The sequence below is a fragment of the Homo sapiens genome, chromosome 17 (genome assembly GCF_000001405.40).
Source record: "Homo sapiens chromosome 17, GRCh38.p14 Primary Assembly".
NCBI lineage: Eukaryota > Metazoa > Chordata > Mammalia > Primates > Hominidae > Homo > Homo sapiens.
Window position 1 is genome coordinate 82,430,866 of NC_000017.11, and position 21,051 is coordinate 82,451,916.

Genomic DNA, 21,051 nt, shown 5'->3' on the forward strand with positions numbered 1-21,051 from the left:
CTCTTTGTGATCACCAGATCACAAAGATTTTTCTTGTATTTTCTTCTAAAGTTTAACTTCTGTGCATTTTTCATTTAGATCTATGATCCATTTTTAGTTTGGTATTTTTATTCTTTCTCCAGAACCCTTGAACATCCAAGTTATTTGTCTTGAGTCACAGACTCACTCTGTCACCCAGGCTGGAGCGCGTGGTACAATCACAGCTCACTGCAGCCCTGAGCTTCTGGGCTCAAGCTTCTGGGCTCAAGCACCTCAGCCTCCTGAGTAGCAGGGACCACAGGTGCGTGCCACCATACCCGGCCAGTTTTTTTTATTATTTGCAGATACCAGGTCCCACTATGTTGCCCAGACTGGTCTCGAACCCCTGGCCTCAAACAGTTCTCCCACCTCAGCCTCTCGGAGCGCTGGGATTATAGGCATGAGCCATTGCACCTGGCCCCATTTTGAGTTAATTTTTTTTGTTCATTTTCCTTTTTGTGAAGAGTGGGGTCTCACTATGTTGCTGGGCTGGTCTCAAACTTCTGGGCTCAGGTGATCTTCCCGCCTCTGCCTCCCTAAGTGCTAATTTTTTTTTTTTTTTTGAGACAGAGTTTCACTCTGTCACCCAGGCTGGAGTGCAGCGGCGTGATCTCAGCTCACTACAAACTCCACATTCCAAGTAGCTTCAGCCTCCCGAGTAGCTGGGATTACAGCGCCCGCCACCACACCCAGCTAATTTTTGTCTTCTTAGTAGAGACGGGGTTTTGCCATGTTGGCCAAACTGATCTCGTCGAACTCCTGACCTGAAGTGATCTGCCCGCTTCGGCCTCCCAAAGTGCTGGGACTACAGGCATGAGCCACCATGCCCGGCCTCCTTTCATTCTTACAATATATTCATAGTAGTTTTCTTGAAATATTTGATAAATTCTGCATGTGGGCCCTGAGAGTCAGAGTCTGTGAACTGGATCCTACTTTCCAGTTCATTTGCACATCTCAAAATTTTTGGTTGAGAACTGAACATTTCAGTTAATACATTATAGCAAAGCTGAATGTTTACTCTTTTCCCCAGTGGCTGGTGGTGGTCTTTTTGTTGTTTTCTAGCAAATGGCCTGCATTTAACCTGCAGGACCTGCCCCTGGCTGTGTGCACTCACTGATGTCTGTGCTGAGATTTTTTGGTTCTTATTTTTACATTTTAGCCTGGCTTCCTAGGGTCATCCCTCTGTCTTCATAGTTGGTGGTCAGCCAAGGGTTTGGGCAGAGGTTGTGCTCCCACACCTTGAGCCCACAGACCTCCTCCCCTTGCCACGGGGCTGTGTGTGGGCGGTGGGGGGTGCATCCCTAGGTTCGCGCAGTTCCCACCTGGCCCTCACAGGTCCCTGCACGTGTGTGTGGCCCCCGTCAGCCAGGCCTGAGGAGAGTGTGCAGCACCATCTGGCTTTCTGTTTCCAGGGTCACCCATTAAATCTGCAGCCAGTCTTGGCTCTCCCCAGCAGGGACTGCACCCTCTGGCAAGCGGAAGACAGGGCCTCTTCTCCAGTTGCTGCTTCTACTGACAGCGCCCCCACAAGGGGTGGGTTTTTAACCCAGCCTCAAGTTAAGTCTGCCCCTTTGGCAGCAAAGCTGTGGTTTCCACAGTGAGGGGGAAGGGGGCAGTGAGTAGCCCTAGGCCGAGGCCACAGAGTCTCTGTTCTTAGGCAAAGTTAGAGTGGTCTTTCATAGATAAACATTTTTCTGTTTTTTTCTTTTCAGAGACAGGGTCTCACTCTGTCGCCCAGGCTGGAGTGCAGTGGTGTGATCATGGCTCACTACAGCCTCAACTTCCTAGGCTCCAGTGATCTTCCCGCTTCAGCCTCCCAAGTAGCTGGACCACAGGCAGGTGCCACCACACCTGGCCACTTTTTTTTCTTAAACCGATTTGGTTTTTAAAAAATTTATGGCTGGGTGCAGTGGCTCACGCCTGTAATCCCAGCACTTTGGGAGGCCAAGGCGGGCAGATCACAAGGTCAGGAGATCGAGACCATCCTGGCTAACACGGTGAAACCCCGTCTCTACTAAAACAAAATACAAAAATTAGCCGGGCGTGGTGGCGGGCGCCTGTAGTCCCAGCTACTCGGGAGGCTGAGGCAGGAGAATGGTGTGAACCTGGGAGGCAGAGCTTGTAGTGAGCCGAGATCATGCCACTGCACTCCAGACTGGGCGGCAGAGCAAGACTCCATCTCAAAAAAAAAAAGAAAAAAAAAAAAAAATATATATATATATATATATATATATATATATATATATTTTTTTTTTTTTTTTATATATATATTTTTAGTCTGGGCGTGGTGGTTCACGCCTGTAATCCCAGCACTTTGGGAGGCCAAGGAAGGCGAATCACTTGTGGTCAGGAGTTCAAGACCAGCCTGGCCAACATAGTGAAACGCCATCTCTACTAAAAATACAAAAATTAGCCAGGCGTGGTGGCACATGCCTGTAATCCCCAGCTACTGGGAAGGCTGAGGCGGGAGGATCACTTGAACCTGGGAGGCAGAGGTTGCAGTGAGCCGAGACTGTGCCACTGCACTCCAGCCTGGGCAACAAAGCGAGATTCCATGGGGTTTCACCAGTTGTCCAGGCTGGTCTCAAATTCCTGAGTTCAAACATTCTACCCACCTCAGCCCCCACAAGGTGCTGGGATTACAGGACTGAGACTCTCTGCCTGGCCTAATTTTTTTGTATTATCTGTAGATTTGAAACAGAAGCCCCAGGTGGGCAGAAGGAGATCAGTCCAGCTCCTCCGCCCCCAACGCGAACTTCTCTGTCTCTCCGCAGTTTGTGCTGAAGCACACGGCCTTCGCCCACCTGCGGGAGGTGGGCTCCTTCCCCTGCACCCTGAACCCCCACGAGGCAGAGTCCCTGGCGCTGGTGGGCGCCATGATTGACCAGGTCCTGGAGCTACACCCAGGCGCCCAGCGGCTGCACATCGGGTGTGATGAGGTGGGTACTGTCACCCCAGCTCTGTGCAGGACACTCTCCCCTATCATGGCTTGTCCTTTTAAATAGGAAAATCTTCCAGGCACTGAGGCCTAGAGACAGGCTTGTTGTTCCCCTCAGGGCACCCCATCCAACATCTTCTCCGAGTGGATGGGCGGCCTGGCACGGGACAGCCTGCGGAGCCCGAGGGAGGCACCCTCGTGTCAGACGCGTCCAACATCTTCTCCGGGTGGATGGGCGGCCTGGCACGGGACAGCCTGCAGAGCCCGAGGGAGGCACCCTCGTGTCAGACGAGACCACCCCGGGCGGCTGGGCTGGCGGAAGCCTGTGGGTGATGGGCAGGTTCACGCCCCAGGACCAGCAGTGAGCATAAGTCAGGGTGTAACTCGAGGGACACCCTTTTGTTGCTGAGAGGAAGTTCTGCATTTGGACCCTGAAGCACCCAATGGAAAAGGTGGTCCCCAGGGGGTGCCAGAGATGTGCCCCCTCCAACCCAGTGAGCCCCCACCCTTGCCCCTCCTGCCACTCACTGGACTCCAACTCAGTCAGGGCCTGGGCAGGATGTGGAACTGAAAGGGGCGGGGTTGGTGCCCACGGGGCTGGGAGGTTCTGCAGGGCTGTGGCTCACAGGGAACCCGAGCTGAACATTTTAGCCCCAGAAGTTTCCTTTTTTTGAAGGAAACCTGAGTATGTAAAATACACTTAAGCTTTACCATTCTAACCATTTTAAAATATAGGCTGGGTGTGGTGGCTCACGCCTGTAATCCCAGCACTTTGGGAGACCAAAGTGGGTGGATCACCTGAGGTCAGGTGTTTGAGACCAGTTTGGCCAATGTGGTGAAACCCCGTCTCTACTAAATATACAAAAATCAGCCGGGCGTGATGGCGGGCGCCTGTAATCCCAGCTACTCAGGAGGCTGAGGCACGAGAATCGCTTGAACCCAGGAGGTGAAGGTTGCAGTGAGCTGAGATCACGCCACTGCATACCAGCCTGGGCAACAGAGTGAGACTCCGGCTCTAAATAAATAAGTAAATAAATAAATAGGCCAGGCACGGTGGCTCACACTTGTGATCCCAGCACTTTGGGAGGCTGAGGCAGGTGGACCACCTGAGATCAGGAGTTCAAGATCAGCCTGGCCAACATGGTGAAACCCCGTCTCTACTAAAAATACAAAATTAGCCAGGTGTGGTGGTGGGCGCCTGTAATCCCAGCTACTCAGGAGACTGAGGCAGGAGAATCACTTGAACCCAGGAGGTGGAGGTTGCAGTGAGCCGAGATTGAGATTGTGCCACTGCACTCCAGCCTGGGCAACAGAGCAAGACCCTGTCTCCAAAATAAATAAATAAGTATAAACGTCAGCACCTCTTCCAGACATTCATGGTGTGGGCAATCACCCCAGGGCAAGCCCCGCACCTGCCCCCAGGCCCCGGCGACCACGGTCTGCTTCCTATCTCGGTGGATTTGCCCGTCTGGGCATTCCACGGGTACCGAGTCACACAGTGTATGACCTGTGCTCCTCCGGGCTGTCAGCTGCCAGAGCTTGGCTGTCTGCTGAAGCCGAGCCGTGTTCATGGTGGGGGATGCTGCCCTATGCTGGTCCATCATGGGGGATGGACCCCTGTGGTCTCTGCTTTGTTGGCTGTGAGAAGAGCTGCTGTGAACATTCACAGGAAACCTTGAGTAGAAGTTCAGGGCTCAGTGAGGAAGACAGGGACACGCTGGGGGTGGTAAGCAAAGGCTCCGAGCCCCTCCCTGGCCTCCTCCCCACAGGCAGCGGCCCCTCTCCGTCAGGGCACGGCGTGAACCCCGGACCCTCCCACCGGTGTGCACGGCTGCCAAGGCAACCCCGTCCTGCTCCTTCCTTGCAGGTCTATTACCTCGGAGAGGGGGAGGCCTCGCGCCGGTGGCTACAGCAAGAGCAGAACAGCACGGGGAAGTTGTGCCTGTCACACATGCGGGCGGTGGCCAGCGGCGTGAAGGCCCGGCGCCCCAGCGTGACACCCCTGGTGTGGGACGACATGCTCCGAGACCTGCCTGAGGACCAGCTCGCAGGTCGGCCAACAGGGCTGGGGGAGGGGGTGGGCCACTGAACTGCCCAAGACCTGCGGCTTCAAAGAAAGAAGGTGCTGTAGGAAGTGGGCCCCAGGGTGAGCCCCAGCCCCGCACAGACCCGCCACAACCACCTCCTGCATCCCCTTGACGCCAGGCCTGAGTCGTTTCCCTAGAAGCTGTGGAGGTTTGGGCAGGAGAGCACAGGCCTGCCTGGTGGCCCAGAGGGCTTGGGAGTGTCCAGCACTCGCAGCAGCCTCCTCCAAGGCCATCCCTGCTGGGACTGGGGGCCGAGGTTCCCGCTGGCTGCTCCTCCAGCCCCTGGGCCCTGCTCGCTCTGCCTGAGGCTTTGGGACGAGCTGCTGAGCGCCTTTCTGGGCCAAGAGGTGGTACTCAGACACCTGGCCTGGTTCCACACAGAGCCCCGAGGCTCAGTGAGCTCCATAGCAGAGCTGGGAGCCAGGGTGTCCTAGGGCCGTGCCGGCCTGGCAGCTTCCACCCATGCATGGCCACATAGATGACTTAGAGTGACCTCCATTCAGCCGCGTGCTCCAGCTGTGCCTGTGGCTCATGGCCTGGTAGAGCAGCAGTGGGAGCATGGTCGCTCCAGCGGGCGCTGGCTTGGAAAGGCACTGTGTGTGGTTGTGGCATTCATTGTCAAAACCCAGCACGGTGCCAAGTCTGTCTTAAAAAGGTATCTGTGCTCACACTTTCAAGCAAAACGAGAACAGGTGGGTCCGAGGGGCTGAGAGTGTGGTCCAGGTGTCTCACCAACCTCACGTCCGCTCTGTCTGCAGCGTCCGGGGTGCCGCAGCTGGTGGAGCCGGTGCTCTGGGACTACACGGCCGACCTGGATGTGCACGGCAAGGGTCAGTGCCAAGTTGTGGGGGGTGTGTTGTCCTGGCCATGTGCCTGGGAAGGCCATCCCTGGCCCTGTGACCCTGCAGCCGGAACTGCCCAGCCTGGAGCCTGCACGGGTAGAGGCCAGGGCACAGCCCCAGCAGACCCCAGCCCATGGTGCCTCGGGACGGCCACCGTGCACCGGTGCCTCACCTCCCTCCCTGTTCCACCAGTGTTTTCCTAGTGAGCAGGTGAACCAGGGGCCACGTACACTCTGGAGTCTCCCCGACTGGGACCCGGGCCGGCCGCATACACTCTGGAGTCTCCTACACTGAGACCCGGGCCTGGCTGTCTCAGGCGGCTCCCATGTTGGCTCTGGGTACAGCCCCGGGAGGCGTGTCCAGGGCCGTGTTGGCCGCCTCCCCTGGAGCCACTCACCTGTTTGCTTTCTCACCCAGTCCTCCTCATGCAGAAGTACCGGCGGTGCGGCTTTCCGCAGCTGTGGGCAGCCAGTGCCTTCAAGGGTGCCACGGGGCCCAGCCAGGCCGTGCCCCCTGTTGAGCACCACCTCAGGAACCACGTGCAGTGGCTGCAGGTGGCGGGCAGCGGGCCCACGGACTCACTGCAGGGCATCATCCTGACCGGCTGGCAGAGGTAAGTCCTGGCCAGTCTGTCCTCAGAGGGTCCAGGGCAGCTCTGGTGGCCACCACGTCGGCCTGTGCAGCGTCCGCCAAGGGCCTTCCCAGGTTGGTCAAAGGGGAAGCAGCCCGGGCCTCCAAGAGGAGCTGCAGAAACAGCCACGTGGGGTTGGGCCCTGCACGCCAGAGCGGCCGCTGAGGGACGCTGCTCCCGTGTTCAGGGTCACGAACACGTGGCCCCCAGCCCCCATGCTACCCGTGTGCGCCGCACCTGAGGCTGTGTGTGTGTGTGTGTGTGTGTCTTGCTTGTGGCACGAGGAGGGGTTTCGGTTCTTTCAGGATTTCACTCTGTTGCTAGAAATGCCGTCTCAATTCGGACCCCACGAGAAGGTTCTTGGGTCTCACACAGGAAAGAATTCAAGGCCAAGTGTGGTGAGGGAGGGTCACTGAAAGGTGCCCAGTGACAGAGGTGGAGCCCTCGGAAGGCCAGCATAGGCGTGCCCAGCTCTGTTTTCCGTTTTTCTCATATCAGGGTCTTGTCTACGTAAACACTAAGCTGTGCTACCTGTGGGTGGGCCAATAGTGTGACAGAATTTATTACTCTAGGGGCTGAGTGCGGTGGCTCATGCCTGTTATCCCAGCACTCTGGGAGGCTGAGACGGGTGGATCACCTGAGGTCCAGAGTTCGTGACCAGCCTGGCCAACGTGGTGAAACCCCATCTCTACTAAAGACACAAAAATTAGCCTGGCGTGGTGGCACGCGCCTATGATCCTAGCTACTCGGGAGGCTGAGGCAAGGAGAATCACTTGAACCCAGGAGGCGGAGGTTGCAGTGAGCCAAGATCACACCGCTGCACTCCAGCCTGGGCGACAGAGCAAAACTCTGTCTCAAAAAAAAAAAATGTATTACTCTATGATTTAAAGAAAACTGTCCTGGACATTTCAGTGTGTAGCCTATGGAAGCCTAACTCTGGTGACCTAGAAGGCACATGCTGTCGTGGGTGTGGGGATGCCAGGACTGTCGGCTGTTGTAGGAGTGGCCCCTGCAGGTATCTAAGCACTTCCTCAGCTGTAAAAATCCTGTGACTGTGGGTCCTGCCTGGCAAGAATGGGCCTTGTTAGTCCCATGAAGGAGCTGGGCCTCCGTGGCATCACCCTGGCGCTCCCAGGCCCCTGCTCCCCTGACGACACTGTGTGAAAAGCAGAGCTAAGATAAACCCCTGGTCGCCGGCCAAGTCCTGACCTTGGGTCTCGTCTCAAGTTAGAGGGTTGGGGGGCAGGTGGCGCAGGTGATGTGGGCTAGGCGAACGGCTGGAGGCCAGACCCACCAGGGGCCCCGTGCCCTCACCCACAAAGCTCAGATTGAGATGGAGTCAAGAATTTCATGGTGGGGACCGCAGAGCCTGGTGGGCCAGCCTGCTAGAGGGGCAGCTCACAGCCACCATGCATGTCCGGAGCTGGCAGCGGCTCTGCAGAAGCTTCTAGATAGTTCCCACTGTCCTGTTGGGATACAGCTCTGTCTGCATAAACCAGGATCGTCCATAGAGCGGGGCGAGGCTCCTCCTCCCCCAGAGCAGCGGCGCATCCTTCAGGCGAGCCTGGGGCTGTGGCGTCAGGCATTGCCCAGCCTTCGCCTGTGCTCACACCTGGGGCAGCGTCTGTCACCCACCTCACAGCTGAAGAAACTGAGGCACGGGCAGGTGGAGGCACCCTACCCAGCAGTGGGAAGCCCAGGCCAGGCCAAGGCCCCCCAGCCCTCGCTTGGGACAGATGCTGCCCCTGACCTGCTGCCTGCCACGCCTGATCTCTCGCCCTCCTCATGGGGCCTTGGGGAAAAGCTGCCACCCCCACCAGCCAGACAGGAGGCAGCCGAGGGAGAGGGTGGGGCAGGAGGGGCCCGGAGGCCCTAGGAGGGGGGCGTCAAGGGCAGCCCCCAGAAGCAGGAGCCCTTTTCTCAGAGGCCAGAGGTGCTGGGGGGAGGGACAACGACCGGCCACCCACCCAAGGTCCACCCAGAATTCCCATGGCTCCGGAGAGCATTGCAGCAAGGAATCCCCACGCTCTTCACTTGTCCGGTTTCTAGAACGGAGTTGACATGAGAGCCCTGCCGCACAGAACCTGTCTTGGAAACCCTGGGCCCCATGGGTTGAGGGGGTCGGGCTGCCCCCAGCGCTGATGTAGCCTAAGGCCCTGGAACAACAGCAGGGACGTCCGAAGTCAGGGCGCCTGCGTCAGGCTGCTGGGGGCGGGCTGCGGAGCTAAGCGCCCCTCTCATGGACCCAGGTACGACCACTACTCTGTGCTGTGCGAGCTGCTGCCCGCAGGAGTCCCGTCCCTGGCCGCCTGCCTGCAGTTGCTTCTACGCGGTATGTCTGGTCTGGCCACCCCAAGCCCCACCGGCCCCTCCCCGAAAGACCCGGAGGGCAGGAGGCCAAGCACCCAGTGCTCCAACCACCCTGCTGGACTGTGGTGGTCCTCACAGTCGGAGGATGGTCTCACCGCCCCAGCTCAGCCACCCACCTGCCCTGAAGTCCACCCAGGCTGGGCCTGTGTCTGGGTCTCCAGGCCTAAGCCCAAAGCAGGCTGGAGAGTGACGCGGGAGGCACCCCTCAGACACAGTGAATCCGCAGAAATGCACGCAGGTCGGAGGTGGGGAACGGCTCCACCTTTGCTGCACACACGTCCTGCCCACCTGGCCGAGCAGGTGTGGGGCTCAGGCGCCCGGCCCTGGAAGGCCCCGCACCCTGGACCCAGCACTCACACTTCCAGGTCTCCTGAGGGAGCAGCGGGACCCATGGGCAGGGGCAGGCACCGGGGAACCCCTTGGGGTCGGCAGGGGGCTTGGCCAGAGGAGCTGTGTGTGTGGAAACTCGCAGGCCACACGGGAAATTAGCGACTGCGTGGTGCTGATGCAGAAAGAAAAATGGCCGAGACGCGCGGAGAGCGGGACCCGCAGGCGCGGCGGCCCAGGGACGGGGACGCGGCCGGTGAGAGGACGCAGAATGAGATCAGATTGACTTCTCAGTTGCTGACTCTCAACTGCTTAGAAAGGGGCAGAAACGATAAAAACAGACACCCCTGTACCCCACACTAAAGAGCTGTGTTAATATTGACGGTATTTGCAGTGTCCCTTGCCCACGGCCCCATCCGCCACCCGTGACTGGGGCACTTCCCTCCTGCCCTCTGGCCGTCAGCCTCTTGCAGCAAGCATTTCCATGAACACCAAGTCGGAGATTCGTCCACGCTGGTGCCTGCAGGCCTCATGGGTTTGTTTCGGGTGCTCTAGAATATTCCATCGATTGTGTAAAACACAGTGGCAAACTCTGCGTGAGCCCTGGACACCTGTGTGGGTCGGGCTGCGCCCAGCAGGAAGAGCCACTTGCTGTCCGGGTGTTGCTGCTGGCAACACAGTCTTACTTCTGTTTTCTGATTTTTAAAATAAGGAACGTATTTCACGTGTTTAAAGAGAAGCAGCAGGCCCATTTGCCCCCAGGTCCCCTTGGGGCCGGCACACGCGGGGCTGGGCCTGGCCAGTGGCTCTCCATTGCCGCCCGCCCACTGCCCCAGTACCTAGGCCTGCAGGTCCCAATGTAGCCCCCTCCCCTCCTCCAGAGGCCCCTCCAACCGCCCCGCTCATTTGTGATTTCAGGAGGATTTGATGAAGATGTTAAAGCGAAAGTGGAGAACCTTCTCGGGATTTCCAGCCTGGAAAAAACGGACCCTGTTAGGCAAGCACCCTGCAGCCCTCCCTGTCCCCTTCTTCCCCTCCCCTTCCCCCGCCCGTGGAGACAGCTGTTCTCAGCAGGGCTCTCCGCAGGGAGGGGGCCGGCTCCTTCCCTGGCAGCAACATCCTTGCCCTTGTCACACAAGTCAGCCTCCATCTGCGCAGCTCTGTGGATGCGCTGCTGGAGGGCAACAGGTGAGCGTGTGGGTTAGGGGCAGGTGTGGGTGAGGGGGGCAGGCATGGGGCGGGTGCAGGTGAGGGGGCAGGTGTGGGTGGGAGGCAGGTGCGGGTGAGGGGCAGGTGCAGGTGAGCGGGCAGGCATGGGGCAGGTGCGGGTGAGGGGCAGGTGTGGGTGGGAGGCAGGTGCAGGTGAACAGGCAGGTGTGAGCGTGCAGGTGTGGGTGAGGGGCAGGTGCAGGTGAGCAGGCAGGCATGGGGCAGGTGCGGCTGAGGGGCAGGTGTGGGTAAGCGGGAAGGCATGGGGCAGGTGTGGGTGGGAGGCAGGTGTGGGTGAGGGGGGTAGGGACAGGTGCTGGTGAGGGGCAGGTTCACAAGTCCCCCCACTCCCAGGCACAGGAGGAGGCAGCCTCATCCTTCACAAAGACTTTCTGGGGGACATAAGACTTAGAAATGTCAACCCCATTCTTAAACATTTTCTGTATTACTGCAAAGCCGCCCCACGGCTGCCTTGGTAGCCCGCGGCACACCCCTATGTGGATTTGCCCCAGGTATGTCACTGGCTGGTTCAGCCCCTACCACCGCCAGCGGAAGCTCATCCACCCGGTCATGGTTCAGCACATCCAGCCCGCAGCGCTCAGGTGAGGCCCTGGGCTCTTATAGGCCGTGCAGCCATGGGTTCCCTGAGAACTGCTGCTGTTGCTGACATGTCCCTCAACTAGAGAGCAGAGGGTGAGCCCCTAGTTGTAAAAGGCCCTCTGGTCTCAGATGTGCAGCTGTCACCGACTTGTTCCTCCCGACATGCCGATGAGGTAGGGTCAGTAGCCCCATTTCACAGGTGAACTGAGGCACAGGGCAGTACTGACCATGGGGCTGAGGGCAAGTCCCAAGTGTGCAGACTGTGCGTTCATGGCGCCCTCACCTGCAGCCTCCTGGCACAGTGGAGCACCCTCGTGCAGGAGCTGGAGGCTGCCCTGCAGCTGGCTTTCTACCCGGATGCCGTGGAGGAGTGGCTGGAGGAAAACGTGCACCCCAGCCTGCAGCGGCTGCAAGCTCTGCTGCAGGACCTCAGCGAGGTGTCTGCCCCCCCGCTGCCACCCACCAGCCCTGGCAGGGACGTTGCTCAGGACCCCTGAGGGGAGAGCTCATGCCAGGGGGCTCCTGCTGGAGGCTGGGGGGGCTCTGCACTGCCAAATGGCCTGGGCAATACGGGCCCACGTGGGCGTCGTGCCCTCTGGCCCAGCAGTGTCTTGCCCACACTCAGTTCCTGAGGGCCCTGGGCAGCCCCTGGGGGAGAGACTAGAAAACACAGAAGGAAGCAGCACAGGGAGACCCGCTTTGTGATCTGCATGTGTGACACTGATTCTTTGGAAATAAAGAGTGGAAGCTGCAGGTGACACGTGAAGGGTTATTTATGGTTATGATGACCCTGTCCTGCAACGAGGGACTGGCAGCCACTACTGAGGAGGAGGGTCCCATCTCTCTCCTGTCGGCTTTCACCGAGGTCACAGCCAGACGTGGGGCAAAGGTGTTCCCTGTCCTACCCAGCCATTCCTGGGCCTGCCGCCTAGGGGCTCACAGGGCCCAGGAGTCCCCAGCTCACAGGCCAGGGCATCAGGCCAGGCGCGCTCGGTGCACACCGCACCTGGGAGGACCTGGGTACACTCAGGAGACCAAGAGCACTGGCGGGTCAGGATGGTTGGCGTTCAGCTCCTACGGGGTGGGGAGAAGTCTGTAGCCGAGAGCCCAGCCCCCTCCTGCCAGGTCTTCCCAGGTTCGAGAGAGGCTGGAACTCAATTTCTGCAGAAAATCTCCCAGTTTTTCCTGTTTGGTTAGTTTTTTTACAAAGACAGGATCTTGCTGTGTTGCCCAGGCTGGTCTTGAACTCCTGGCCTCAAGCAATCCTCCCACCTCGGCCTCCGAAAGTGCTGGGATTACTGGCATGAACCACTGCGCCCGGCTGGAGCTCCCGGTTTTTAAGCACTGCACGATACTAGAAGAGCTGACCTTTTTTCTGGCCTCACAGCTTATGCTGAAGCTGAGTGTGAGGAACAGAGAGACCTTTCTGTGACGACCGCTGGGGCAGAGTGGTCTATGCGCCGAGATCCTGGCATCAGCAAGGGAGGCGGGTCCTCGGGGAGGGGCAGCTTCCACAGTGTGGCTGCAGCGTGCACAGCCAGGTAGGCCCTGGATGTTCACCCCTCACTGCCCTTGGGGAAGCACCTGACCGCTGGGGATGTCCACCAGGGAGAGGACGCTGTGTCGGGGACAACATGCAGCATCAGCACCCACAAGGGCCCGGCCTGGCCCCGCCTCTCCACTCGCCCGAGGTCTTGCTGTGGCCCAAAGCAGGAGTCCAGGGCTGGCGAGACCTCCGGCTGCAGAAAGGCAGGCCCAGGCCTCACGATGGAGAAAGTCTGGATGTCCTGGTCTGGCCTGCTGTTTCATGCAGTGTGCAAGCAGCAGCATGAGCAGGCAATAGGCCAACTCGGCTGGAGGCACCAACTGAAGCCAAGGCCACGGGTCCTGTGGGCGGTGCACGGGCTCAGGCACACCGGGAATGTGCCACGGGTCCTGTGGGCGGTGCACGGGCTCAGGCACACCGGGAATGTGCCACGGGTCCTGTGGGCGGTGCACGGGCTCAGGCACACCGGGAATGTGCCACGGGTCCTGTGGGCGGTGCACGGGCTCAGGCACACCGGGAATGTGCCATGGGTCCTGTGGGCGGTGCACGGGCTCAGGCACAGTGGGGCTGTCAGCTCTGGCTTGCAGGGTCACCGGCCTCACTGTCGCTGCTCTGAGACAGCTCTGTGGGGCTCTCAAGGCAGTGCAGCTCCAGGAAGCTGGTGATGAGCTTGGCGATGGCTTCCACATCACTGGGCGAGGCCGGCAACGGGAGGAAGGTCAGGTCACCTCGGCATAGGGCACCGTGAGACCCCACAGCAGTCTCCTCCTCGACCACCTACCTCCCGCAGACCCTGGAGCTCCCAAACTGGACCCAGCACTTCCTGGCCTGCTCCCAGCCTCCCCGTCACAGTGGGGCTGCCCCTGAGCCTGCACACGCTTCCCGTGGGCCCCTCTGTGTCCCGTCCACAAACTCATCTCCTCTCCCAGCTGCCCCATAGCTCTGGGCAGTCAGGAACGGGAGTGACCTGCTACGGCTGCAGCTCCGGCCAGATCAAAGTCCCACAGCCTTACCTGCGGTGGCCCATGACTGCACTCTGCGTGAGGGGGTGGGAGAAGCCCGTCGCAAGCCGGAGCACCACCATGTAGCCTTTCCCGAAGTACCGGACCTTCTCCTCCTCCACGCTCACATCACGGACATCATGGAGCAGGACCACCACTGCGGGGAGACGGTCAGTGGCCGAGCCATCCCCGCCCACACATGCTGCCCGGCAGTCGCACCAGCGCCACTGGCATCATCGAAAGCGACAGCCACACTTGGTTGGCAGCAAAAGCATTTGCTGTTTCCTGCCTGAGGCTGGGCCCCGGAGGACTGCTGTGGCCCTGAAGGCAGTGCAGGGTCCTCTGGGTGGGAAGGACGTGCCCGCGGTGCAGGCTGGCGGGTCACATGCACAGCCCGCTGGTTCTCCTGGGAGTGCCGACTGCGGGGACCCGCTCAGCGCGAGGCCATCTTTACACTGCACTGTTCCTCCAGGTCTCCCCAAGGTTGGCTGCTGAGCCAGGGCCACCCTGCAGTTTCCCGTGGCAACTCAGGGCAGCCACCTCTTCGGGTACTGGGGCGGTCCCAATGGCTGTCAGAAAACGGCACAGCTGCCTCCCACAGCCCAGGCCAGCCCTGCAACTGCTCTCCCCAAAGCCACAGGTGACCTGGGGCCAATGCCCTGGCCAGGTCCCTGCAGGGATCCAGGAAGCAGCCTGTCAGAAGTGCAGCATTGCGGCACTAAACCCAAGACTGCCCAGCAACTCTGGTCGCCAGAATCTGTCCCCTCTGGGGCTATGCATGGGCGGCCGGACCCCGGGGCCTCTGTCTGTCTGTGCGGCAGCATCTACAGGAAACTGGTACTGACCACAGCTGGGCCAGTGCCCAGGCTCAAGGGTGGGGAGTTCCTCGGACCATCCAGCCCCTACTGCAGGCCCAGTAGAACCCACAGGAAAGCTGGAGCAGCGCCAAGGCCCGCAAGAAGCCAGGTGGCCCCACTCCAGAACGCCCACGGGCTGCCATGGCTCTCCCTGCCCCGTCCTGTGACCTGCCGCTGGGGCCAGACTGCACCTGCGGACAAGTGGCTGCCAGGCAGACGGGAGAATGCAGCTAAACAGAGGCTGCCCGAGCCCGGGTGGGCCAGACCCCTGCTCCTCAGACCCCTGCTCTGCCAGACCCCTGCTCCTCAGACCCCTGCTCCTCCCACTCTCCCCAGGGGCCAAACCTCTAAAGAACCCAGGAGGCTCTAGGACCCTGCTGAGCAGGTGAGCAGGTGGGGCGTATCCGTGGGATCCTGCTTCCAGCGGGCAGGACACAACCCTGGTCACCAAGCAGGTGAGCTTGGACCAAAGGCACTTCCAGGCCCCCCTCTAGGCCCCGTGAGTCACCCAGACGCCCAAGTGCGCCGCCTCTGTGGCCGTGTCCCATGTCCCCACGCTCCCCACGACTCACCCTGGTCGTGGCCAGCTCTGAAAAGAGTCAGCAGCTTCTTGTAGAGGCTGAACGTCTTCAAAACAACCTTCCCTGTGCTCTTGTCGAAGATGGCTTCCTGGAAACCGACATGCACTGACCACCATGAACCTCCAGGAACGGGGGCCCCGTGGCCGCTGGGGCCTCACCCCCACCCTCACCAGGGTGGACACTCAAGAAGGGGGGCTGGGGACCCTCCCAGTCAGAACCCAAACCCCTGAAGCCACAGGTGCTGCTCTGTCAGAGCCGGATATCGGCAGCCAACCCGACTCCTGTTGGGAAATGGAGAGGTGGGCAGGTGCAGCAGGCGCTTGCTCCACCCTGCAGGCAAAACAAGTGCAGGGAGGCAGTGGAACCAGCAAACGAGGGCATGGAGGTCAGAGGGCAGCACTGGGCCAGGCTGAAAGGACTCATGAGGGGCTCCGAGGTGGGAGGGCCGGCCACGGGGAAAGCTGACTCGCATCCCATTGTGGCAACTCTGGGAAGAAAGCACTTTGGTGAAGATAGTCATGGAGAGCTTCTAAGAGAAAAATGCCTTCGGGGAATTCCTTGGCCAAGAACGGTCCCAGATGAGTGCAGGGGCCATGTCCTGATGAACGGAGACCTCCAAGCAGGGACCAACGCTTCAGGACGGGGAGGCGCTAGGCCACCCAGGGCCCTTCCTCCTCCTTTCATTCCCATTGCAAAAAACCCAGGAGCTGAACAGCCCTGGACTCTGTCCCGCACCCGAGCCGGCCTTACCTCCCAGTCCTCCAAGTTCTGCACAGCCACAAACAGGCAGCCTGTGACGTAGAAGAGCTTCCAGCCCAGGCTATCTGGAGATGGGCATAGGGCGCCAGCCTGTGAGCTCCAGGGACATGCCCACGGGAGGCCCCGCCTAGCACAGCCTCCCCCAGACGCTGGCCAGAGCCCACGCTTGCAAGGACCCCCTGGGCAGCTTCCTGTGCTGCTGACCCTGCCCTGGCCACTCAGGACCCACACGCGGCACACCCCACCCAGCTCTGACCCCCAGAGTCCACGTGAGAGAGGCAGGTGGGGCGCACAGGGCCTCTGCCCGTCTGGGCAGGCCCAGTGATTGTGGCAGGGTGGGAAGTACACCTCATCCCACAGCTGGATCTTAGATCCTCAAGAGCATCTCTCCGGGAATATTTGATGACCCAAAAACACAGAAGACTTAAGAAGTGAAATGTGGCCGGGCGCAGTGGCTCACGCCTGTAATCCCAGCACTTTGGGAGGCCGAGGCGGGCGGATCACGAGGTCAGGAGATCGAGACCATCCCGGCTAAAACGGTGAAACCCCGTCTCTACTAAAAATACAAAAAATTAGCCGGGCGTAGTGGCGGGCGCCTGTAGTCCCAGCTACTTGGGAGGCTGAGGCAGGAGAATGGCGTGAACCCGGGAGGCGGAGCTTGCAGTGAGCCGAGATCCCGCCACTGCACTCCAGCCTGGGTGACAGAGCGAGACTCCGTCTCAAAAAAAAAAAAAAAAGAAGTGAAATGTGGGCTGAGCGCTGGGCAGGATGGGCGTGCGGAAGAACAGCAGCGCATGGAGGGCGCGGTGCCCGCCAGCAATCAAGGGGCAGAGGTGCCGATCCTAAAGGCCGCCCCATGGACAGTCACAAATGACAGTTTTTCCTTCTTTTCTCTGTTTTCCAAACAGCTGAGACAGTCATGGGGGGGTGGGGCGGGGGGTGCTTTACCTCCGCTGTAGTAGGCAGCAGCCAGGCCAATCGACAAGATTCCTATGAAGAGAAAGTGACTGCCTGCCTATTGATCCCGGTAAGACCCCACCTCCCTGGTGCAGCGGGACCAGGAGCCACAGCCCCTGATGAGCAGGCCCTTCCCACTGTAGGAACAGCTGTGGTCAGGGGTTACAGACCACCAGGTTCAGAGTAGGGGAAACAGCCAGGAAGCTGGTTCAATAATGCAGTATAGCTGGGCGTAGTATCACACACTTGTAATCCCAGCTACCTGGGAGGCCGAGGAAGGAAGAGCGCTTGAGCTCAGGAGTTTGAGACCAGCCTGGGCAACATAACGAGACCTCATTACTAAAGAAAACAAAAGCAAAACACAGTATACGCTATTCACAGTATTTACTAGACACATCTGCTGTGTGAGGCTCCATAACTGACACGGGTGTTACTCCAGTAGCACGTGGTGAGGCCTGAAGACTGTGCACAAAGAAATTACAACACAGCGTGTCATGCAAAACACACAGGAGGCTGTGGCGTGTCACAAAAAAGGTGGGCCCCAGCTGCTGAGGTACAGCCAGCACCACTCCTCACACGGTGTCCCGTCAACACAAGTGCAGCTGTCCCCAAGGGTACAGGACCCTACTGGTGGGTAGCGATGGAGGACGGGAGGCTAAGTGGACTGTGAGTCCTACGAAGAGGTCTGAGGACCAGGGAGGAGGAGACATGGGAACCCACGATCACCCATCACGTGGTTAGTGGACTGTGAGTCCTACGAAGAGGTCTGAGGACCAGGGAGGAGGAGACATGGGAACCCACGATCACCCATCACGTGGTTAGTGGACTGTGAGTCCTACGAAGAGGTCTGAGGACCAGGGAGGAGGAGACATGGGAACCCACGATCACCCATCACGTGGTTAGTGGACTGTGAGTCCTACGAAGAGGTCTGAGGACCAGGGAGGAGGAGACATGGGAACCCACGATCACCCATCACGTGGTTAGTGGACTGTGAGTCCTACGAAGAGGTCTGAGGACCAGGGAGGAGGAGACATGGGAACCCACGATCACCCATCACGTGGTTAGTGGACTGTGAGTCCTACGAAGAGGTCTGAGGACCAGGGAGGAGGAGACATGGGAACCCACGATCACCCATCACGTGGTTAGTGGACTGTGAGTCCTACGAAGAGGTCTGAGGACCAGGGAGGAGGAGACATGGGAACCCACGATCACCCATCACGTGGTTAGTGGACTGTGAGTCCTACGAAGAGGTCTGAGGACCAGGGAGGAGGAGACATGGGAACCCACGATCACCCATCACGTGGTTCAAAACAAGTACAAAGGAAAATATGGTGACCTCAGAAAAGCTCATAGAGTATATTAAATACGCTGGGTGTTAGTGATTAAAAGGGGACAAAACAGACATGCATTATCTGTAAAACCAAGTACACCAGATAGAATTTGAATGGATACAAAGAAACAAAATAGCCATTAGATTTCAAGGTAATAGAAAAAAGAGAAAATATTTTGTTTCATTTTCATCCTTTTTGAAAGTCAGGCTTCCGGTTCTGGGGTTCTGGGGAGGGACGTGGAGAGCCTTACCAACCAGCAGGGACCAGGACCGGATGCCTGGAGCCCTCTTCAGATGGAGGCGGGAGCTGGTGCGGGTCTCCACCTGCAGGTACATCCCGAGAGGGCAGCACCACTCTCTACAGGAGGAGGGGTCTGGGAACAGACAGAGGCAGCTGAGCCCTTGGGCCTGCACACAGGCAGGCGCCCACGCCATCAGGCCCAGTCTGGAGGCCAAGAGCAGGTCCCCCAACTAAGTCACCTGCAGCCCCAGACACCATCAGCCAGTCTCACCTGGTCTCTGTGGTTGGGCACGTCACTGGATCCCCCAGAGACCCCGTTTCCTGTGTAAGGAAGGCCCTTTTCCGTTCACAGCGACACCGACTGCGCGGGGGCTGTTTCCCGCTCAGACTCACGAGCTACAGCTGCATCACCACCTGCCCCGTCCTGTCTGGAAACCTTATGTCCTGAGGCCGCTAGCCCCCAGCAGCCTTTAAGCTTCTAGCATCTGTGGGCACCCCCTCTCCCCTGTGCTGGCCTCCACCAAGAAAGGAACTGAAAGTCCCATCATGGCTTCCGGCCGTACTGGCTCTCGCACTGGCATGGACCAACGATCTCAGCTCTCTCTCTGCCCTCCTCCACCTGCTGAAAGTTCAGACTGCACAGTAGAGGGTCCCAAAGCGGCCAGAACCGACGAGTCACCAAAGGGGCTAATCTTCCACAGCGGAGTTCCGCACGGGCGCAGCAGCCCTGCCACTTCACCGTACGCTCCCAACACTGGCCCCAGGGACCCCGTTCTGGTAGTTTCTCAGGGCTTTCCCTGTGAAGTCAAATCAAATTTCTGACATTAAGTAGGGGGTTCAGGCTGGGCGCGGTGGCTCAGGCCTGTAATCTCAGCACTTTGGGAGGACGAGGCGTGCGGATTGTTTGAGTCACGGAGTTCAAGACCAGCCAGGGCAACGTGGCGAAACCCCGTCTCCACAGAAAATACATAAAACAGCCCGGTGTGGTGGTGTACGCCTGTGGTCCTAGTTATTCAGGAGGCTGAGCTGGGAGGATCACCTGAGGCCGGGAGGTGGAGGCTGCAGTGAGCAGAAATCGTGCCACTGGACTCCAGCCTGGGTGACAGAGTGAGACCGTGTCTCAAAAAAATAAAAAATAGTGGGTTCAAATCACACAAACCAATCCTAGATGCTGGTATATGACTGGGCTCCCTCCCGGGCCTCAGTTGCCTCATTGCTCCCGAAACACCCGGCATTCCACATCCAAATGCACACACACACGCACACTCGCGGACACAAGCACACGCGCGCTGGCAAAGCCGCCCGCGCCGCTAGTCGCACCGAGCGCTCGTTTCTTTGTCCGGATCGGGGGCGCTCCCGCCGCCGGGGCCAACCTGCAGCGGAACAGGCGCGAGGCCGCCCGCGACGGGCACGGCGGGACACGGAACAGCCGGCAGGCGGGCCCAGGACGCAGACCCCTCCCGGAGTGGGCCTAAGGGTGCCGGGACGCGCGGCACGGAGCGGGAAGGAAGTGCGGAGCCCACCCAGCCCAGCCGCCTACCGAGAGCACAGCGGTCCCCGCGCCGCAGCAGAGAGACGCGAACCGGCGGGGGCGGGGCCGCGCGCACTTCCGGGATTGGAGCGGAGCCGAGCCGACTTTCGGGGGCGGGGCCGCGCGCGCTTCCGGGATTGGGGGCGGGGCCGCGCGCGCTTACGGGATTGGGGCGGGGCCGCAAGCATTTCCTGGATGGGGCGGAGCCGAGCGGATTTCCGGGATCCGGGCGGAGCCGCAGGAGGAGGCGGGTGGTTCCTGCTAAAGAAGCCAGTTTTCTTGAAAAAAAGAAACGTGCGGGGAAACGTATCCGACAGCAAAGAACTTACCAAGGACTATGAACGTCTTGCTAACATAGAAGCGAAACTGAAGCGGTTCTCATTGCCAAAAAAGAAGATTTGAGCATGAATAAGAACAGGAATTCGAGTGAATTTAAAATCCTCAGATGCTCCAGTCTGTAATTCATAATAATGTATTTTTTAACTCTGTTCACCTTTGGAGGATGCTGGTAAGCTCACCCCAGTTTGTGGCCTGGTTAATAAAAGGAAAGCATCAAGCATTTGTCCTGCCTTTATGAAATTTACAGCAGAGTAACCAAATACTGCATGAGAAGAATTTCTCATTATAGAAGTTTTCCCGCTAATAAATGAAGAAGAAACAGTAGGATTAAAACATCACCCTATGAATTAACGGACCTAGGCAATGTCATCAATGACTGCTAATTAACATCGCAAAAAGGTCAGTTAGATATCAGAAGTACACAACACTATGAAGTAGTCTTGCCAGAAAAAATTTAACCTGAATGTGAACAAGCTTCTAGAGTGAATTACTGGAAATGTGGAAGACAAGACTGTACTAAAGGATTCTACAAGGATACAGTCAGCAATTCGAAACCTCAACCATCTGAATGGACCCTTCCGCTTGGCCAAGAGCATTCCCAAGTTATCCTGAAAAACTAGCTCAGGCAGTGATGGGAAGGGGGAGACAGACATACCTCACTCCCTCCTCCCTTTTGGAATTCAGGCACACAGCTGACCAGCATTCACATTAAAACAGATCTTGAGGTGGCCAGGTGCGGTGGCTCACGCCTGTAATCCCAGCACTTTGGGAGGCCAAGGTGGGCAGATCACGAGGTCAGGAGATTGAGACCATCCTGGCTAACACAGTGAAACCTCATCTCTACTAAAAACACAAAAAAATTAGCTGGGCGTGGTGGCGGGTGCTCA

The 21,051-nt window shown here is 58.8% G+C and overlaps 2 protein-coding genes across 30 annotated transcripts in view, besides 6 other annotated features; one reads left to right on the forward strand and one right to left on the reverse strand.

Annotated features, from left to right (window-relative positions):
• Positions 1-11,780, forward strand: part of HEXD (hexosaminidase D) — a 24,299-nt gene extending 12,519 nt beyond the window's left edge. For 5 of the 15 annotated variants that reach the window (NM_173620.3, XM_047435785.1, XM_006722280.3 and 2 more), the window contains 8 exons: positions 2,793-2,957; positions 4,824-5,007; positions 5,802-5,873; positions 6,303-6,498; positions 8,766-8,848; positions 10,132-10,401; positions 10,935-11,024; positions 11,312-11,780. In NM_173620.3, coding sequence (NP_775891.2) covers positions 2,793-2,957; positions 4,824-5,007; positions 5,802-5,873; positions 6,303-6,498; positions 8,766-8,848; positions 10,132-10,401; positions 10,935-11,024; positions 11,312-11,727 — 1,476 coding nt within the window. In that variant the 3' untranslated portion in view covers positions 11,728-11,780. Of the gene's footprint in view, positions 1-2,792; positions 2,958-4,823; positions 5,008-5,801; positions 5,874-6,302; positions 6,499-8,765; positions 10,402-10,878; positions 11,025-11,311 lie in introns of those variants that run through there. The other 10 variants (NM_001369487.1, XM_047435788.1, NM_001330542.2 and 7 more) reach the window with 8 other exon arrangements.
• Positions 8,136-8,635: an enhancer, noted in NCBI's record as "H3K4me1 hESC enhancer chr17:80396877-80397376 (GRCh37/hg19 assembly coordinates)". NCBI's record gives its function as "activates a minimal SCP1, AML or CMV promoter by ChIP-STARR-seq in primed H9 embryonic stem cells {active_cell/tissue: H9 hESC(primed)}" and the evidence as "EXISTENCE:reporter gene assay evidence [ECO:0000049][PMID:30033119]".
• Positions 8,858-9,645: an enhancer, noted in NCBI's record as "H3K27ac-H3K4me1 hESC enhancer chr17:80397599-80398386 (GRCh37/hg19 assembly coordinates)". NCBI's record gives its function as "activates a minimal SCP1, AML or CMV promoter by ChIP-STARR-seq in naive H9 embryonic stem cells {active_cell/tissue: H9 hESC(naive)}" and the evidence as "EXISTENCE:reporter gene assay evidence [ECO:0000049][PMID:30033119]".
• Positions 11,575-11,664: an enhancer, noted in NCBI's record as "active region_13008". NCBI's record gives its function as "activates an Ori minimal core promoter by ATAC-STARR-seq in GM12878 lymphoblastoid cells {active_cell/tissue: GM12878}" and the evidence as "EXISTENCE:reporter gene assay evidence [ECO:0000049][PMID:35858748]".
• CYBC1 (cytochrome b-245 chaperone 1) lies at positions 11,721-19,887 on the reverse strand. 15 transcript variants are annotated; one of them, NM_001100407.3, is made up of 8 exons: positions 19,835-19,887; positions 18,566-18,615; positions 18,305-18,427; positions 16,715-16,756; positions 15,758-15,831; positions 14,999-15,095; positions 13,582-13,726; positions 11,721-13,259 (listed from the first exon to the last, which is right to left on the reverse strand). In NM_001100407.3, exons 3-8 carry the CDS (start codon positions 18,387-18,389, stop codon positions 13,139-13,141), a joined length of 564 nt encoding a protein of 187 aa, NP_001093877.1. In that variant the 5' UTR covers positions 18,390-18,427; positions 18,566-18,615; positions 19,835-19,887; the 3' UTR covers positions 11,721-13,138. The 15 variants fall into 15 exon arrangements, 10 of the variants coding, with proteins under 10 accessions (NP_001093877.1, NP_001180586.1, NP_001180582.1 ...); NM_001193657.2 differs by having other exon boundaries at positions 19,668-19,887; NM_001193653.2 differs by having other exon boundaries at positions 19,615-19,887.
• Positions 18,228-18,277: a silencer, noted in NCBI's record as "silent region_9212". NCBI's record gives its function as "represses an Ori minimal core promoter by ATAC-STARR-seq in GM12878 lymphoblastoid cells {active_cell/tissue: GM12878}" and the evidence as "EXISTENCE:reporter gene assay evidence [ECO:0000049][PMID:35858748]".
• Positions 18,698-18,957: an enhancer, noted in NCBI's record as "active region_13009". NCBI's record gives its function as "activates an Ori minimal core promoter by ATAC-STARR-seq in GM12878 lymphoblastoid cells {active_cell/tissue: GM12878}" and the evidence as "EXISTENCE:reporter gene assay evidence [ECO:0000049][PMID:35858748]".
• Positions 19,588-19,947: a silencer, noted in NCBI's record as "silent region_9213". NCBI's record gives its function as "represses an Ori minimal core promoter by ATAC-STARR-seq in GM12878 lymphoblastoid cells {active_cell/tissue: GM12878}" and the evidence as "EXISTENCE:reporter gene assay evidence [ECO:0000049][PMID:35858748]".

Coding starts and splice junctions, on each gene's coding strand:
- CYBC1 (NM_001033046.4), bottom strand. CDS start 18,389: ATGTACCTGCAGGTGGAGACCCGCACCAGCTCCCGCCTCCATCTGAAG. Junction 13,727..14,998: donor CAGAGCTGGCCACGACCAGG/GTGAGTCGTGGG, acceptor GTCTCCCCGCAG/TGGTGGTCCTGCTCCATGAT. Junction 13,260..13,581: donor GCAGTCATGGGCCACCGCAG/GTAAGGCTGTGG, acceptor GGCCTCGCCCAG/TGATGTGGAAGCCATCGCCA.